At 40.0% G+C, this 19,295-nt stretch overlaps 1 long non-coding RNA gene across 1 annotated transcript in view, besides 1 other annotated feature; it reads right to left on the bottom strand.

The window, feature by feature from the left end:
- Positions 1-19,295, bottom strand: part of LOC107984704 (uncharacterized) — a 336,950-nt gene that overhangs the window by 201,411 nt on the left and 116,244 nt on the right. The gene's annotated exons all lie outside the window — the stretch shown is intronic.
- Positions 16,501-17,700: an enhancer, noted in NCBI's record as "CDK7 strongly-dependent group 2 enhancer chr14:82321380-82322579 (GRCh37/hg19 assembly coordinates)". NCBI's record gives its function as "activates an origin of replication core promoter dependent on BRD2, BRD4, P300/CBP, MED14 and CDK7 cofactors, with strong dependence on CDK7, by STARR-seq in HCT116 cells {active_cell/tissue: HCT116}" and the evidence as "EXISTENCE:reporter gene assay evidence [ECO:0000049][PMID:35650434]".

Here is a 19,295-nt window from a genome sequence, read left to right as displayed (position 1 = left end):
TAGGTGCTATCTCATTTTATTTTCTCAAAATAACTAGGAATAAAAGTATTAATACTGTCATACTCACCTCAGAAATAGGAAAACTGGTACTCCATGAGTTAGCAACCTAAACCTACCACCTTCTCTACGTATAAAATCTTCATTCTGTAGGCAATTTAAAACTGGTAAGGTCTGTGAGCAGTGGTGTGGCATGATCAAACCTGTGATTTCACTGTCCTTTTTATGGCTTATCTTGAATCACCAGAAATGCCAAATAGAGATTAGCAGTAACAGCTGTCTTCACTCCTATAAGAATATTCTTCTAACCAAGAGAAAACTAAATACAGGTCAAGTACAATTGCTTTTAGCAATGAATAAGTCACAAAACATTGAGTTAAAACTACTAGTATTTCCAGGACAAGAAATTGGGAGGTAAAAAGAAAACAGTTATTTATCCATACACCCTAATCCACAGAAAACGAAAGCATATTGTTATTGAGAACGCTTCCTTGGTACATGGTAGTAACATAATCTGTATCTCATCTTTGCTTACAGGCTCTAAAACAAACACCAGGACCCCAAAACAAAATGAGGGCCCAAGTCTACAAATATTTTCAACAAATATTACTTATTTGATCCCTGAATTCTAAGTTCTTATGAAACTTTGTTTTAGTACAGATAGAAGAATAAAAGTCATCATTTAAGTGATTATTTAAGTCATAAACCTTGAGAAATGGTTATCAGAGGCAGCTAATGACCTAGCCTCTCAGCTAATGGAGGTTAACACTCTAATAAACCATTTGTTAACTGCAGCAATTGACTGATTACAAAAGAATTATGGCTATCATAACTCTGTTTTATGAGTGGTAGTGGGGAAAGACACAGTTGGATGGGGACAGAGTACACAAGTGCACCAAAAGGTGACTATAGAGAAAACAATTGCAACCTGTCACTAAAAGGTTCCCCCTACAATGAATAAGAAGGGAAGGGGAGCCACATGATATAAGTATATAGTGAATCGGAATACGGGAAATGTTAGTTTTGGTATAAAAGTAAAAATTCCCAAAACTAAGCCTGCCTAATGCACTCATAAGTGTCCTCAGTAAAATGGACATTGAATACTCTGATGAAAGCTTAAAGCCACCCACACACTGAGCATGGAGAGAATTTTTGCCTTCACAAAGAAGTCTTTCCAAATGCAATAAAAATACATCTCAAAAATGTGTATTTTGAGGTTGAAAATTGAAATCATGTGTCCCTGACAATTATTTAGATTTTTTCTAATGAGGACATTTTTAAAGGAGAGTAGGCACTATCTTTCTAAATTGGAAAGTCAAGAACATGCAGTTTCAGTTAGGATTATATATAATGATTCTGAGGAAAAAATAGTCAAAATAAATCGCTTGCTTAAGACAGTATTTTTTTTTTGACTTGTGTTAAAAAGTCCATGCTGATGGATGACTTCAGCCACATAAAGTCATCAAAGGTCCAGGTTTCTTCTCAGACACCATTCCAACATCTCTAGGATGTGGTTTTTCCCTTACAAAGATGACTGCAGGAGCTTCAGCCACCAAATTGGAGTTCTAGGCAACAAGATGAAGAGAGGAAGAAAGTCCTGACACTCTGTGTAGTGAAGAATTAACCTTATCCAAAGAGGAGTCTGGCTTTTGCCCTCAGTTACTGGGAGGTAATCTCTTGGTCCCTGAAATCTTCTGTGTGATAGGACTGTGTTTGTTTGCCTGGGCGTTTTGGCCACTGGACAGTCTAACAATGTGATGTATGATGAAGGCCACCTCGTATCCATTCTGATTGCTGAAGGTATTAGCCAACAACCTCTACAAGGGGATGGAGACTACAGATCAGTCACACAGGCAATATGTGATAGAGCCCAAATAAAAACTCTGAACTGGCTCACGCCTGTAATCCCAGCACTTTGGGAGGCCAAGGTGGGTGGATCACAAGGTCAGGAGATGGAGACCATCCTGGCTAACATGGTGAAACCCCGTCTCTACTAAAAATACAAAAAAATAGCTAGGCGTGGTGGCATACACCCGTAGTCCCAGATACTCAGGAGGCTGAGGCAGGAGAATCACTTGAACCTGGGAGGCAGAGGTTGCAATGAGCCGAGATCACGCCACTGCACTCCAGCCTGGGCAACAGAGCAAGACTGGGTCTCAAAATAAACAAACAAAAAAAAAAACTCTGGATGCCAAGGCTTGAGTGAGCTTCTCTGGATGGCAATACTTCAAGTATATTGCCACACATCATGGCCAGAAGGAGTAAACACTGTCCATAACTTTATGGGAAGAGAACATTTAGAAGTTCTGTATTTGGACCTCTCCTGAACCCTGTCTTACACATTTTTTACACTGAATAATTTTAATCTGTATCCTTTCCCTGTAATAAACCATACCTGGAACTATGGCTACTTTACTCCATGAGTTCTGTGACTGCTTATAGTGAATTATTAAACCTGAGGATGATTTGGGAACCTCCAAATTTAAAATTTGTGTCACATGTGAGGAAAGTCATGTTATCTGTGCTCCCTCTAAACTGTATAATTAGCCAGAACTCTTACACTCTCCTTTTTTAAATGGACATTCCAGAAGTACCACATAACTCATCTACTCACTTCTCATTGGCCAGAACCTAGTCATATGGACACACCTGTCTGCAAAGGAGACTGGAAAATGTAGTCTTTTGTCTGGGTATGTTTCTACTCTTAATAAATCAGGTTCTGTTACTTAAAAAGAGACAAATAATGGGCTCACACACTGTGATAAATCTACCTTCTATAAAAACACTGCAAAATATCTATAGTAATAAAAATTCTTCATTCATATATATATAATATATGATAAGCAAAATTAGAAATCTTGATGTTTTAAAGCAAATAATTTTTATTTAACAGAAAGTTTTAGTGTCAAATATCTCTTTTTGCCATATAAATTTTTTTGTTGCTTCCAAGTATGATAACGTGGCCTTTTACATGCCAAACATATTACAGTAGTTTCTTCTTATAAAATTTGATTTTCCATGGCTTTAGTTTCTCATGGTCAACTGTGGTCCAAAAATAGGTGGATACAGAACAGTAAGATATTTTGAGACAGAGAGAGACCACATTCATATAACTTTTATTACAATATATGGTTATAATTATTATATTTCCTTATTATTAATCTCTTATTGTGCCTAGTTTATCAAAACTTATCATGGGTATGTGTACAGGAAAAACATGTATACAGGGTTTGGTTCTACCTATGGTTTCAGGCATCCACTGGGGGTCTTGGAACGAATGCTCTGTGGATAAGGGAAGACTACAATAGTCGATATTTGCAAAAAGACAGAAGCAATAGGGTAGCAACTACATGTCAAGTGTGATGTGTATGGAGTCATATAAAAGTTAATACTCTATCGGGGGGTATTATTTTCATTTTATAGGCAAGAAAACTGTAGCTCAGGGATGCCAATGTCTAACCCTCCAGAACTTGATAGATTCGGGGTCTAGTGTTCTTTTCAAATTATAGGCTTTCCACACAGGCTCCAATTCACTGCTTTACTGAAGGTCAAGATGGATGCTATTTTAACTGGGTAATGGCCTCTCACTACCTTCTTGGTCTGCGCTAATAGCACTGGAAGCTCCTTTTGCTTCCCAAGGAAAGAAAGACTGTGTCCTAGATGAACTGTGTCAATAAGCTGTTACAAGGCTACTTTTGCTCCTTCTGTCTCCTTTCAGACACGTATTTTATATGTGCCTTGTAAATTTAAAGCATGCGGTTGTTCTTTTTCAAGCTATGTTTCTTTATGGTCCAGGAGTGATATTTCTAAATTCTACCCTGACTTCTCTGGATGCCCATTCTTCCACAGGGTCACCTCTGTTGATTCACAATGAATTGGCTTTAAATCTTCCCCCTGAGTCTCTTAATCAGTCTATGGCATATATGTCCCCTGCACTAGAATTCTTTAAATTTCCACACGGCAACCAATTTGTAGTAGGTATAGATTTCATCTGATAAACTCGTACTTCTTTATCTCAAAATACTGAGAATAACCCACCCATCTCCTTTTCCCAGGGATGGCTCTGAGGTTTTCTGTTTGTTTCTTTATTTGTTTGTTTGTTTTTGCAGGTGCCGAGGGTTATATGGTTCCTTTGAGGTGGGAGAGGTGGCAGAGGGTGTGCTTCTAGTCCTTCATGTAGTTGCCTCTCCACACTGAATCTATGAGACATCCTCATCCCCCTACAGTTTTTGTCATCGACCAAGTGCAGATCAATGCTGGTCAGCCTAAACGCAACTCCACAGTCTCATCAAAGCCGCTGCCCTCTGGCAACCACATCCAAGTCTTCCTAAACACACGCAGAGACAATTTTCCTGCTTCTGCCCCTTGTGGAGACTCCAGGAACTCTGTACTGATAGGCCACACCTGTCTACTGAGGCATTTCATATAGCTGCTTCTCCAGGATGCCAAGAAATGGGAACTCCAAGGCCTCGCAGCTTCCATGGGCTCTGTCTAGCAGAAGACACAGGCTTTCTCTGCTCAGCTCCACCAAGCCTATTTAAGACTTCTATTTTTTTTGCCATATATCCTCATCCTCCCCTGGGAAGACAGGTTCCAAGTCCCTTCTTCAGAAACCTACCAATATCTACACTTTCCTTCATTCCCTCTGTTCTGGGAAACTTTTCTAGTCTCAGGATCCAAAAGTGCCAGATATAAGTGGTTACATATCTTTCTATATCCTCAGTCGTTTCACAGTTTGAATTTTCTTTTTCCTTTTTCTTTTTTTTTTTTTTTTTTTTTTGAGACAGAGTCTCACTCTGTCTCCCAGGCTGGAGTCCTGTGGCACAATCTCTGTTCACTGCAACCTCCACCTCCTGGCTTTAAGCGATTCTCCTGCCTCAACCTCCCTAGTAGGTGGGATTACAGGCACCCGCCATCATGCCCAGCTAATTTTTTGCATTTTTAGTAGAGGTGGGATTTCACCATGTTGGCCAGGCTGGTTTCGAACTCCTGACCTCAAGTCTTCCACCTGCCTCAGCCTCCCAAAGTGCTGGGATTACAGGCGTGAGCCACCACACCCAGCCTGAATTTCCAAAATGCAAAAGCCTTGACTTTTTCTGCCATAACAACCCTTTTCTAGGTCACGGGTATTGGATACACCGAGTCATAGTGCAGTCACCTTCAAGTGGCGCTCCCAGTGCAACAGCATCTGCATTACCTGGGAACTTGTTAGAATGTACAATTTTAGTCCTCACCTCAGACTTACTGACTCCAAAGCTCTGGGAGTGGCACTCAGAAATCTATGATTTAAGGAGCCCCCCAGGTGATTCTAATGCAAGCTCAAGTTTGACAAACATAGTGCAAGCTTAGCTTCTAGAGTCAGACTTCTTCGGTCTTATGAGCTGTGTGACTCGGGGCAAGAGGCTTAACATCTCTATGCCTAGGTTACCACATCTATGAAATAAAGGTACTATTTGTATTTGCCTCAGATTGAGGCTTTTGTTATGAGTACATGGGTTAATACACGTAAAGTACTTAGCATAGAACCTGGCATATAATAAGAACTAAAAATAGGTACTACTTTTATTATTATATCTTCTGACTGAATCTTAAATTGTGGGAGGGGTTGGGCAACAGGAGATGTCAGGGAAAGAGACATCAGTTACTATTTCAAATATACCAACCCACAAAATGTGAAGGAACTAAAACAGCCTCTTTCAATTTCTTTAAATTTATTCTATAATTCACATTTTGTGTTAGTTGGCCTTCTCACTTTTTTTAACTTCAAATTAAAGAGTGCATGGACCCACACAAAAAAAGATTGTCTGAAATAAATCATTCAGTACTTTTACCATAAGAATGGAACAATTATATGGGGACTAATTTTGATACCTGTCAAACACCATTTCATCCACCTGCAAGCAGCTGACCAAAGCACTTGTTTACTGGCTTTATGCATTCAGATATTGTGTGAAAGAATCAAACCACTGGCTGAGAAATTGGAAAGACTTTTAAAATGCAAATTCATTTCCCTCAATAGGATTTGACCTGTATTACCATATACTGGCTGAGATTGCTCTTGAGTAAATTACCTATACTGAAAAAAAAAATTTCTCACTCAGTCACATGAGATGAATTTAATTCTTCAAGGAAGCCAGTGTTCCATTTAGTAATTTAAGTAATTTACTAAACATTAGGTATTTACTCCAGTTTGCAGGAAACACTCCTCTCACCTGATTCATCAGCACACCTCTGAAGATGAGATCAGTTGCAGATTGGGAAACTAATACCTTCTGCAACTTTGCGGAGCTATTACCTGTGTGACCAACAACCCATCTCCTGTTTAAGAGGGAGTGTTATCCTGATATCAACATTCTCTCTGAAGTTTTTCCACAAATAAAGGTTAGCTTTGTTAATTAAAGTCAAGGAAAATTGATAATGACCAGAAATCTTGGCCTTTACGATTTTCTTGTAGGTAATATTCAAGAAGGCAAGAAATAGGAAAAAAAAATATGTAAGAATTACCCACATCTGGCCAGGCACGGTGGTTCTTGCCTGTAATCCCTGCACTTTGGGAGGCCAAGGCAGGTGGATCACCTGAGGTCAGGAGTTTGAGACCAGCCTAGCCAACATGGTGAAATCTCCGTCTCTACTAAAAATACAAAAATTAGCCAGGTATGATAGCGAATGCCCGTAATCCCAGCTACTTGGGAGGCTGAGGCAGGAGAATAGCCTGAACCTGGGGGGCAGAGGCTATAGTGAGCTGAGATCGCGCCACTGCACTCCACCTTGGGCAACAAGAGTGAAACTCCACCTCAAAAAAAAAAAAAAGAATTACCTACATCTTCGAAACCCTCCAAACATCTGCTTCACTTTGGCTGGCTTTCTCCTACCAAATTCACAATAAAGAATAGTTTCAGGCATCCTAGTGAAATCAGAAAAATATGTTGGAAAAAAAAGATACGTTATCCATCTAATGAGAAACATTTGGGTATTGAAAAATATCATGTTTTTCTCTAATCTTTTAAGCTTCTTGTTGGTGATGTTTGGTATCATGAAAACATGACAACAATAAAGTTAAAACAGATTAAGTAAAATCACAACATTTTTAAGTGGAGAGAGCCCTATTGATTAACCATATCATCTAACTCTTTCATTTTAAATACAGGAAAACTCAAGGCCTACTTGCAAACTTAAACCCTTCCTAAAACACTGTGGATTTACAAACACATGGATGCAAATTTACAGACCTTGCAAACCTAATCTTTTTATAAGCAGTGATACCTCTGCATTTTTTAGGGACTCTCCTGGCCATTGGGGGCTCAGAAGCTGAGAAAGACCTACTCTCCAACTCACACAGCGTCTACGGCATCTACCATATAATAGAGGAATTAAGACACAGCAAACTGTAATCCAAGACACTAGTTTAATCGGAGGGTAAGCATCCTAGAATGGACCGGCAGGGCATTATGCTTAAAGATAGGTGGAAGAGAGATGATGAAAGACCTCAAATACTATGCCAAGGGAACTGGACCTTATCTATTACCAACAACAAACCGATTTTATTATATATCCCTGTGCCTAATGTGCTACATCATTTCACATAATCTTTTTTTTTTTTTTGACAGATTCTTCAAGTTTTTATTTCTGGACATGGTTACAGAATTTTGAGAGGTTATAGAATAGAGAACAAGAACAATTTTGGTTCATTAGGAGTCATTGTATATTGCATTTCTTGTGCCACATGGTGAGGATTTAAGAAAAACATATTTAACAAATGAATTTGAGAAGTGTCTGTTCATCAAATTCATTTGTTCAGTATGTTTTTCTTTTTTCTTTTTTTTTTTCTTTTATTATTATACTTTAAGTTTTAGGGTACATGTGCACATTGTGCAGGTTAGTTACATATGTATACATGTGCCATGCTGGTGCGCTGCACCCACTAACTCATCATCTAGCATTAGGTATATCTCCCAATGCTATCCTTCCCCCCTCCCCCAACCCCACAACAGTCCCCAGAGTGTGATGTTCCCCTTCCTGTGTCCATGTGATCTCATTGTTCAATTCCCACCTATGAGTGAGAATATGCGGTGTTTGGTTTTTTGTTCTTGCGATAGTTTACTGAGAATGATGATTTCCAATTTCATCCATGTCCCTACAAAGGACATGAACTTATCATTTTTATGGCTGCATAGTATTCCATGGTGTATATGTGCCACATTTTCTTAATCCAGTCTATCATTGTTGGACATTTGGGTTGGTTCCAAGTCTTTGCTATTGTGAATAGTGCCGCAATAAACATACGTGTGCATGTGTCTTTATAGCAGCATGATTTATAGTCCTTTGGGTATATACCCAGTAATGGGATGGCTGGATCAAATGGTATTTCTAGTTCTAGATCCCTGAGGAATCGCCACACTGACTTCCACAATGGTTGAACTAGTTTACAGTCCCACCAACAGTGTAAAAGTCTTCCTATTTCTCCACATCCTCTCCAGCACCTGTTGTTTCCTGACTTTTTAATGATTGCCATTCTAATTGGTGTGAGATGGTATCTCACTGTGCTTTTGATTTGCATTTCTCTGATGGCCAGTGATGATGAGCATTTTTTCATGTGTTTTTTGGCTGCATAAATGTCTTCTTTTGAGAAGTGTCTGTTCATGTCCTTCGCCCACTTTTTGATGGGGTTGTTTGTTTTTTTCTTGTAAATTTGTTTGAGTTCATTGTAGATTCTGGATATTAGCCCTTTGTCAGATGAGTAGGTTGCGAAAATTTTCTCCCATTTTGTAGGTTGCCTGTTCACTCTGATGGTAGTTTCTTTTGCTGTGCAGAAGCTCTTTAGTTTAATTAGATCCCATTTGTCAATTTTGGCTTTTGTTGCCATTGCTTTTGGTGTTTTAGACATGAAGTCCTTGCCCATGCCTATGTCCTGAATGGTAGTGCCTAGGTTTTCTTCTAGGGTTTTTATGGTTTTAGGTCTAACATTTAAGTCTTTAATCCATCTTGAATTGATTTTTGTATAAGGTGTAAGGAAGGGATCCAGTTTCAGCTTTCTACATATGGCTAGCCAGTTTTCCCAGCACTATTTATTAAATAGGGAATCCTTTCCCCATTGCTTGTTTTTCTCAGGTTTGTCAAAGATCAGATAGTTGTAGATATGCGGCGTTATTTCTGAGGGCTCTGTTCTGTTCCATTGACCTATATCTCTGTTTTGGCACAAGTACCATGCTGTTTTGCTTACTGTAGCCTTGTAGTATAGTTTGAAGTCAGGTAGGGTGATGCCTCCAGCTTTGTTCTTTTGGCTTAGGATTGACTTGGCAATGCGGGCTCTTTTTTGGTTCCATATGAACTTTAAAGTAGTTTTTTCCAATTCTGTGAAGAAAGTCATTGGTAGCTTGATGGGGATGGCATTGAATCTGTAAATTACCTTGGGCAGTATGGCCATTTTCACGATATTGATTCTTCCTACCCATGAGCATGGAATGTTCTTCCATTTGTTTGTATCCTCTTTTATTTCATTGAGCAGTGGTTTGTAGTTCTCCTTGAAGAGGTCCTTCACATCCCTTGTAAGTTGGATTCCTAGGTATTTTATTCTCTTTGAAGCAATTGTGAATGGGAGTTCACTCATGATTTGGCTCTCTGTTTGTCTGTTGTTGGTGTATAAGAATGCTTGTGATTTTTGCACATTGATTTTGTATCCTGAGACTTTGCTGAAGTTGCTTATCAGCTGAAGGAGATTTTGGGCTGAGACGATGGGGTTTTCTAGATATACAATCATGTCATCTGCAAACAGGGACAATTTGACTTCCTCTTTTCCTAATTGAATACCCTTTATTTCCTTCTCCTGCCTAATTGCCCTGGCCAGAACTTCCAACACTATGTTGAATAGGAGTGGTGAGAGAGGGCATCCCTGTCTTGTGCCACTTTACAAAGGGAATGCTTCCAGTTTTTGCCCATTCAGTATGATATTGCCTGTGGGTTTGTCATAGATAGCTCTTATTATTTTGAAATACGTCCCATCAATACCTAATTTATTGAGAGTTTTTAGCATGAAGGGTTGTTGAATTTTGTCAAAGGCCTTTTCTGCATCTATTGAGATAATCATGTGGTTTTTGTCTTTGGCTCTGTTTATATGCTGGATTACATTTATTGATTTGCGTATATTGAACCAGCCTTGCATCCCAGGGATGAAGCCCACTTGATCGTGGTGGATAAGCTTTTTGATGTGCTGCTGGATTCTGTTTGCCAGTATTTTATTGAGGATTTTTGCATCAATGTTCATCAAGGATATTGGTCTAAAATTCTCTTTTTTGGTTGTGTCTCTGCCAGGCTTTGGTATCAGAATGATGCTGGCCTCATAAAATGAGTTAGGGAGGATTTCCTCTTTTTCTGTTGATTGGAATAGTTTCAGAAGGAATGGTACCAGTTCCTCCTTGTACCTCTGGTAGAATTCGGCTGTGAATCCATCTGGTCCTGGACTCTTTTTGGTTGGTAAGCTATTGATTATTGCCACAATTTCAGATCCTGTTATTGGTCTATTCAGAGATTCAACTTCTTCCTGGTTTAGTCTTGGGAGAGTGTATGTGTCGAGGAATTTATCCATTTCTTCTAGATTTTCTAGTTTATTTGCGTAGAGGTGTTTGTAGTATTCTCTGATGGTAGTTTGTATTTCTGTGGGATCAGTGGTGATATCCCCTTTATCATTTTTTACTGTGCCTATTTGATTCTTCTCTCTTTTTTTCTTTATTAGTCTTGCTAGCAGTCTATCTATTTTGTTGATCCTTTCAAAAAACCAGCTCCTGGATTCATTAATTTTTGGAAGGGTTTTTTGTGTCTCTATTTCCTTCAGTTCTGCTCTGATTTTAGTCATTTCTTGCCTTCTGCTAGCTTTTGAATGTGTTTGCTCTTGCTTTTCTAGTTCTTTTAATTGTGATGTTAGGTTGTCAATTTTGGATCTTTCCTGCTTTCTCTTGTGGGCATTTAGTGCTATAAATTTCCCTCTACACACTGCTTTGAATGTGTCCCAGAGATTCTGGAATGTTGTGTCTTTGTTCTCGTTGGTTTCAAAGAACATCTTTATTTCTGCCTTCATTTCGTTATGTACCCAGTAGTCATTCAGGAGCAGGTTGTTCAGTTTCCATGTAGTTGAGCGGTTTTGAGTGAGATTCTTAATCCTGAGTTCTAGTTTGATTGCACTGTGGTCTGAGAGATAGTTTGTTATAATTTCTGTTCTTTTACATTTGCTGAGGAGAGCTTTACTTCCAAGTATGTGGTCAATTTTGGAATAGGTGTGGTGTGGTGCTGAAAAAAATGTATATTCTGTTGATTTGGGGTGGAGAGTTCTGTAGATGTCTATTAGGTCTGCTTGGTGCAGAGCTGAGTTCAATTCCTGGGTATCCTTGTTGACTTTCTGTCTTGTTGATCTGTCTAATGTTGACAGTGGGGTGTTAAAGTCTCCCATTATTAATGTGTGGGAGTCTAAGTCTCTTTGTAGGTCACTCAGGACTTGCTTTATGAATCTGGGTGCTCCTGTATTGGGTGCATATATATTTAGGATAGTTAGCTCTTCTTGTTGAATTGATCCCTTTACCACTATGTAATGGCTTTCTTTGTCTCTTTTGATCTTTGTTGGTTTAAAGTCTGTTTTATCAGAGACTAGGATTGCAACCCCCGCCTTTTTTGTTTTCCATTTGCTTGGTAGATCTTCCTCCATCCTTTTATTTTGAGCCTATGTGTGTCTCTGCACTTGAGATGGGTTTCCTGAATACAGCACGCTGATGGGTCTTGACTCTTTATCCAATTTGCCAGTCTGTGTCTTTTAATTGGAGCATTTAGTCCATTTACATTTAAAGTTAATATTGTTATGTGTGAATTTTATCCTGTCATTATGATGTTAGCTGGTGATTTTGCTCGTTAGTTGATGCAGTTTCTTCCTAGTCTCGATGGTCTTTACATTTTGGCATGATTTTGCAGCGGCTGGTACCGCTTGTTCCTTTCCATGTTTAGCGCTTCCTTCAGGAGCTCTTTTAGGGCAGGCCTGGTGGTGACAAAATCTCTCAGCATTTGCTTGTCTGTAAAGTATTTTATTTCTCCTTCACTTAAGAAGCTTAGTTTGGCTGGATATGAAATTCTGGGTTGAAAATTCTTTTCTTTAAGAACGTTGAATATTGGCCCCCACTCTCTTCTGGCTTGTAGGGTTTCTGCCGAGAGATCCGCTGTTAGTCTGATGGGCTTCCCTTTGAGGGTAACCCGACCTTTCTCTCTGGCTGCCCTTCACATTTTTTCCTTCATTTCAACTTTGGTGAATCTGACAATTATGTGTCTTGGAGTTGCTCTTCTCGAGGAGTATCTTTGTGGTGTTCTCTGTATTTCCTGAATCTGAACGTTGGCCTGCCTTGCTAGATTGGGGAAGTTCTCCTGGATAATATCCTGCAGAGTGTTGTCCAACTTGGTTCCATTCTCCTGGTCACTTTCAGGTACACCAATCAGACGTAGATTTGGTCTTTTCACATAGTCCCATATTTCTTGGAGGCTTTGCTCATTTCTTTTTATTCTTTTTTCTCTAAACTTCCCTTCTTGCTTCATTTCATTCATTTCATCTTCCCAGCCAGGTGCGGGATATAATCTCGTGGTGCGCCATTTTTTAAGCCCGTCGGAATAGCGCAGTATTCGGGTGGGAGTGACCCGATTTTCCAGGTGCCGTCCGTCACCCCTTTCTTTGACTAGGAAAGGGAACTCCCTGACCCCTTGCGCTTCCCAAGTGAGGCAATGCCTCACCCTGCTTCGGCTCGCGCACGGTGTGCGCACCCACTGACCTGCGCCCACTGTCTAGCACTCCCTAGTAAGATGAACCCGGTACCTCAGATAGAAATGCAGAAATCACCCGTCTTCTGCGTCGCACAAGCTGGGAGTTGTAGACTGGAGCTGCTCCTATTCGGCCATCTTGGCTCCTCCCCTTTTTTTTTTTTTTTTTTTTGAGACAGAGCCTGGCTCTGTTGCCCAGACTGGAGTGCAGTGGCACTATCTCAGCTCACTGCAGCCTCTGCCTCCAGGGTTCAACCAATTCTCCTGCCTCAGCTTCCCAAGTAGCTGGGATTACAGGCACCTGCCACCAAGCCCAGCTAATTTTTGTATTTTTAGTAGAGACAGGTTTTCACCACACTGGCCAGGCTGGTCTCAAACACCTGACCTCAGGTGATCTGCCTGCCTCAGCCTCCCAAAGTACTGGGATTACAGGCATGAGCCACTGTGCCCAGCCCATGTAATCTTCATAATAACCCTGTGAGGTAGGTTCTATCATTCTCTTTTTTTATACATGAAAGAACCAAAGTAACAAGAGGTTAGTGAGTTGCCCAAGGTCAAATGGACAAATAGAAGAATATAGACTCAAACAAACTTGCTTGACTCCAAGGCCCATTCCCTTAACTGTTTGTTCCTGAGCAGGAGAATTACATAATCAAGCTATTTTTTTGGAAGATTAATTTGGCAACAGCACGAAGCATGCACTGTCTTTTTCCTGGCCCACAAGCAGGAATGCTTAACTACAGTTTCTTTTACCCATTTAGAGATTTATGAGAGAGTCATTTCATACTTCTTGGATTTAAAATGCTCATTTCACACATCTTTTGGCTTCGGCTTTTTTTTTTTTTTAATTTAAATCATGAGCTGTGATCTGACCATTTTCTTATACTCAGGCTTTTTCTCCCTCCCCTCCATTTTATCTCAGTGGAGCCAATTTCTCTCTCCGTGACCATTATTGCTTTCCTAAGGCCTTGGGTGAACAGACAAGGCTTCTCCCATCCAGGCTAATCATCAAAGTAGACACACAGAGGGGAGAGGGGAAGGATGTAATACGCTAATATAATTACAAACAATAGCAAACAAAGCTTCCCTCATCCATTAATGCTGAAATGTATTCGTTCAAACTAATTAGTTTTGGGGGGACTGCTAATAAATCCTAATATTTCTCAAAGAGAAATGGCTTGTAATTCAATTTATATTAAGCTGTAACTGAAGTTTACACTAATTAAATCTGGGCTTCCATAACAATTAATCCCAGGAATAATCTGAAAATATAAATAATGTAATAAAGTAAATAACTCTGCATGGCCCCCTAGAAGCAACAGGCAGTATGGGGGTAGGTGGTGGTGATGAGTCTGTGTGCCGAGAGCAAAAGGAGAAACTGATTCTTGCCCTCTCAGAACGGAACATTTGCTCTTTAATGAGCATAGCAATATTCTGCATGTATTTCCTCTAGAGAATGGATGTCCATTGTAATTGTTGAAGGTTAGCTCTGTAGATGTTTTCTATGAACAAATGGCTTGTCAAGGTGTGCCCTGGGCAGAAAATGAACTAAACAGTATGGAAGAACAAGAAAATCTCCAAGGACAATGCCAGGCCTGAAATCACATCCTAGCAGGTATATGCTGCTCTCTTTGTTTTGTCAAATTGCCTTCTGGTCTTCACACAAGTGAAAACACCTATTTATATGTGTACTTCTCCCGGTCACTCCCATTCAACACCCCCAGCCCAAAGGGAATGACATGAGCCCAGTTATATATATGCTGTTTTTCTGGAAGCCATTTTCCTAATATGGTCTGCCTAGGCTATACAATGTATTTTTTGAAGTTGTGCAATGCCTTCCAAGTAAAACTTCACATAATCACAGGAGTTTTTGTTCTGTTTTGTTTTGTTTTGATTTTTTTGAGAAGGAGTTTCACTCTTGTTGCCCAGGATGGAGTGCAATGACGTGATCTTGGCTCACCGCAACCTCCGCCTCCCGGATTCAAGCAATTCTCCTGTCTCAGCCTCCTGAGTAGCTGGGATTACAGGCATGCTCCACCACACCTGGCTAATTTTGCATTTTTAGTAGAGACAGGATTTCTCCATGTTGGTCAGGCTTGTCTCAAACTCCCGACCTCAGGTGATCTGCCCGCCTCAGCCTCCCAAAGTGCTGAGATTACGGGTGTGAGCCACCAGGCCCAGCCTCACAGGAGTTTTAAAAGGCTGTCTATGGAATAAAATATGTATCTACCAAAACAATTATCCTTTGTGTCCCAGTCTTTGGGGCTCTTCAGCATATGGAAAGCTAAAACCCTAGCCCTTGTGTTGCTTTGATGATAGTGTAGTTCTCAGATATGCAGCACTCACAGAGTAAATGAGACAAGCTGTTAGCCAAATACCCTTGAGGCTAAGGTGAGCAAGGCCTGTGTCTCTCTTGATAGCCCCACTGTCCCTCAAGAAGCCAACTCCTGTCCCCTCTGTTGAATCTCCCTTTGTGGAATTCCCTGTCCACCTTATAGTATTGTGAAGAACAAATGAGATGATGTTGTAGGGCTCTAATTGCCAAAACTTTCTAAAAATGGGGCTATCATCTTTGAAGAATTAGTGAAGTGTATTCCAATTTTTTCTGAATGCTTCCCCAAGTAACCAGTGTCTAAACAGGGAAGTGAAGATTTGAAAGATTCCGGATAATCATTAGGCAAGTACAGTGTCTAGTTATTTAGAGTGTCATGCTAGGCATCTCCTTTTGTCATACTTAATTTTACTCTTAAAACCTTCCTCTGAAAGAGAAATGGTTGCCCCCACTTTAGAGATAAGCACATTGAAGCACCAAGAGAGTATCTTGCTCAGGGTCACACAACTTATCCATGACCAAACTTCAGTTGGATGTTTGTCCATCTGAATTTCAGGTTGAAATGTGACCTCCAATGTTGGAGGTGGGACATAGTTGGAGGTGTCTGAGTTATGAGAGTGGATCCCTCAGGAATGGCTTAGTGCTCTCTTCAAGATGATAAGTGAGTTCTCACTCTGAGTTCACCTTGAGGCAGGAAAATAGGGTCTAGAGACAGGGAACATAATGCCAATTCACACTTCAGCTGTAACAGCAAATATCGTCTCCATATGCCATATGCCATAAATGACTTTGTAACTTTACTGCATCCTCTCTATTTATATAGGGAGTACCCCAAGTAACCAATGGAATCCTCTATGGGGTATTTAAACTCCAAAACATTCTGTAACAGGGCCTTTGAGCTCCTATGCTCAGGCCCACTCCCACACTGTGGAGTGTACTTTCATTTTCAATTAAACCCCTTCATTCCTTCCTTGCTTTGTGCATTTTGTTCAATTCTTTGTTCAAGATGCAAAGAACCTGGACGTCCTCCACCATTAACATATTTTGGCAAGCCAGCCAGGAGAAAATGGTAAGCCCAAAGTTTGGAATTCATTTTTCTCCCTTTCCTTTCTTCTCCATACAGCGGCGCTCCCTCGCTCTCTCTGGCTCTCTCTCTTTCTCTCTCTCTCTCTTCTTTTCCTTTCCAAACCCTTGCGGGGCAGGACCTAAACATGGAAGCAACTGCACGTTTCTGGCCATGGCCAGTGAAACTAAGGGGTTTCCATGTGGAGAAGCCTGACTGCCACCACCAGTTCACTTCAGGAATCTGGGTCTTTTCTCATTTTCTTTTCCTCTCTTTCTTTTTCAGTCTTTGAGCAGCTGTTTCCTAGTAGTCCCTTGGAAATTAAGGGCAATTGGGTGGGGTCACTCCCTAGTGCTGCCTGAAGGCCTAGGAATGAATGGGAATAATTGCCCTGGCCCGAAGGGTGAAGGATCTTTTCTACGCATGGTCCCTAATCCCTACGGTGGCAGCAGAGCTCACAGCTGGGAGCAAATTCGCACAGGTTTCAGGGAACTTAAAACTTACCTTATGCTAAATTCTTCCTTTATTGTACTCAACTGGCTAAGGAACAAAAAGGCCCACCCGGCATCCAGTTCTTGTTACAGTTCATGGCTATTCTTACAAATCTCATAGTATGTTTTGGAGGAGAAACCTGCATGTGGAGTGTGCACTTAAGGCCAGACACATCTAGAATTCTAAGATTGGACCCCACAGGAGGATGTTCCATGGGTTCTGCGGACCTCAAACTCTTCAAAGGGGCTACCCTTGGCAGAGGTTCTGAGGTCTAGTACTAAACCCTCATTAGAATCTTCTCTCGCAGTTGCAATGCTGGCTTGGCCCCAGAATTGTTTAGAATCTGAAGTTTACTGTCTAATGCGAAAGTGGAATGGCGTTGCATGTATCCAGGCTTTTGTGCTGCTGTTATAAGCAGGGGGCCTGGTTAACGTGTGATGCCTTCCTTTGGTACTATTTGGCCCCAGTGCTCTTTGGAGTCTGGGGAAGTTTAGCCTCTAAAAGTCAAAGCCACCGAGACTGCTTTACCCAAAATTTTGGTTCACAGCCTTCCTTGTGTAGGATACAGTAAATTCCTATTCAAAGGTTTTAGCCTGTTAACTTCCTTTAAAATTCAAGAGGGGGACAATTGTTAAATACAATGAGTTCTGAGTTCCTCTTCAAAGAACCAATATGTCAGTATGTTCAGCTTCCCTGTTCTTTGTTCTCCATTTTTAAGTTTAACTTCCTCGTTCTTTAAGTCTCCTTGCCCCTAGTTTCAGTAAACAACCCCCTCTATCTACTGCTCAGTCCTTAGTCACCCTTATTCACCTGCTCTGTCCTTAGTCATCCTTAGTCACCTGCTTTGTAACTGTCCTTCCTGGTGAAACTACTCACCCTGCCACTGTGGCTCATAACCCTGCTCTCTTTATGATAGCCAATTGGAATTAGCTTAGGCTGTGTGGTCCAACCCTAGCCAGTAGGGGAAAGACACAGAAGTAGAAACTAGCTGCATCAGGAATAAAAACCCCCTTCCCCTCCCTTGTCCGGTGTGCTCTTGCCATTGCTCCATCCATGAGATGCACCCTTCTATAGAAGTAAATTGCCTTGCTGAGAAAACTTTTGCCTGAGTGCTATTTTCACTTGGTGGCACCGAGCATTTATTTCCAACACTTGGATTATCTACTGGGGCAAAGTAAAACCAGCAAGCTTGTATGGCTATCTCATGGCTAAGGTTCCAGCTATTGGGTCTTCGTTTATGTGTGTGTATACATGTCTAGATGTGTTTATTTGTATGTACACTTACTGTTATACATTGTATCTACCAAACTGGCTTATAAGTAAAAGAGCACTCATAAATTAGTAAGTCTAAGTGATTTTCAAGTTCACATAACCTAAGTATAACTTTACTAAACAAGCTAGCTTTAAAATTTTTGGTGAAATTAAAATAGAAATGCCTTCATAATTGTCAGCATAAATTTTGTCTGAATTTTATGTTTGTCTTTGCTAGATATTTTAAAATGTCAGTGTTAATTCAGGCTGGGAGCTGCTTAGGGGGAGTCTGCTTCCCATTCTATTCAAAGTCTTACTGAGATAAATGCATATCTGATTGCTTCCTTTGGAAAGACTAATCAGAAACTCAGAAGAATGCAACAGTTTGTCTCCCACCTGTGGTCTGAAAGCCCCCAAGCCCCCTTCCTGCCTGGAGTTGTTCCGCTTTTCTGGACCAAATCAATGTTCATTTTACATATGTTGATTAATGTCTCCCTTGTGACAAGTAAAAATTAAGTACAGTGCATGAGATAAATGTTTTAGGTAGACTTTTTGTGTAAATTAAAATTTTAAAGTCATTTTTAATGCTCATTTAATATCTGGGTTATTTCCAGTTAAGAAGGGTTGTAACATGGGGAAATATGTTTCTAAAATTGTAGAATTTTTCTTATCTATAAATGCCTATATCAAATAGCTCAGGATTTCTTGCTTTTTAGGGTTTCACTAAAGTTTTAGGTTACTAAGGATAAAAATTTTAGTTAACACATAATTCTGTATACAAAATATGCCAGAAGGGGTTATGTTATTAGAAAACAAAAATTTTGTCTAATTTAGAAGTTATGTAAAAGTTAGTTCAAATTTCAGATTTTAAAAGGTTATTTATAAAACAATGTAGTAAGGAAGCATTAAGTAGGGGACAAGATGTGGAAAAAGTTTAAATAATAAAATATTCTTTAAAACCTGATAAAGAATTGGAAACATTTGGCTAATTAACATTTTCATAGTTAAAGCTCTTAGTTTTGATTAAAGTAAAAGAAGACAAGAAGACAAATAGAATTTGAGTAATATTTCTCTCTCTGCCTAATTTCTCCAAAATTTGTGAAGTATATGTGAATATTCTTAATTCATGGCAATGTGTTTGTTTGCATACAGTCAAGCAGGGTCGCCAGGGCACTAAGGAAGAGAGAACCCAGAAACCTGGCATGCCAGCAAAAGGGTAAGAATTTCTTACCAGTCAGTCTCTGGCCTCTTTCTCTTCATGTAAACTGGTTAAATATAAAGTAAAAGTCACTGTATAGCTCCTCTGTAAAGTTTTAAATTAATTGGTTTAGTGATAATAAGATCTTAAATCACATATTTTCTCTGAAAAGTGAAAAA

This window comes from Homo sapiens, chromosome 14 (genome assembly GCF_000001405.40).
Source record: "Homo sapiens chromosome 14, GRCh38.p14 Primary Assembly".
Lineage (NCBI taxonomy): Eukaryota > Metazoa > Chordata > Mammalia > Primates > Hominidae > Homo > Homo sapiens.
The sequence above is the reverse complement of the archived record's forward strand: the minus strand, read 5'-3'. Positions and strand labels throughout refer to the sequence as shown.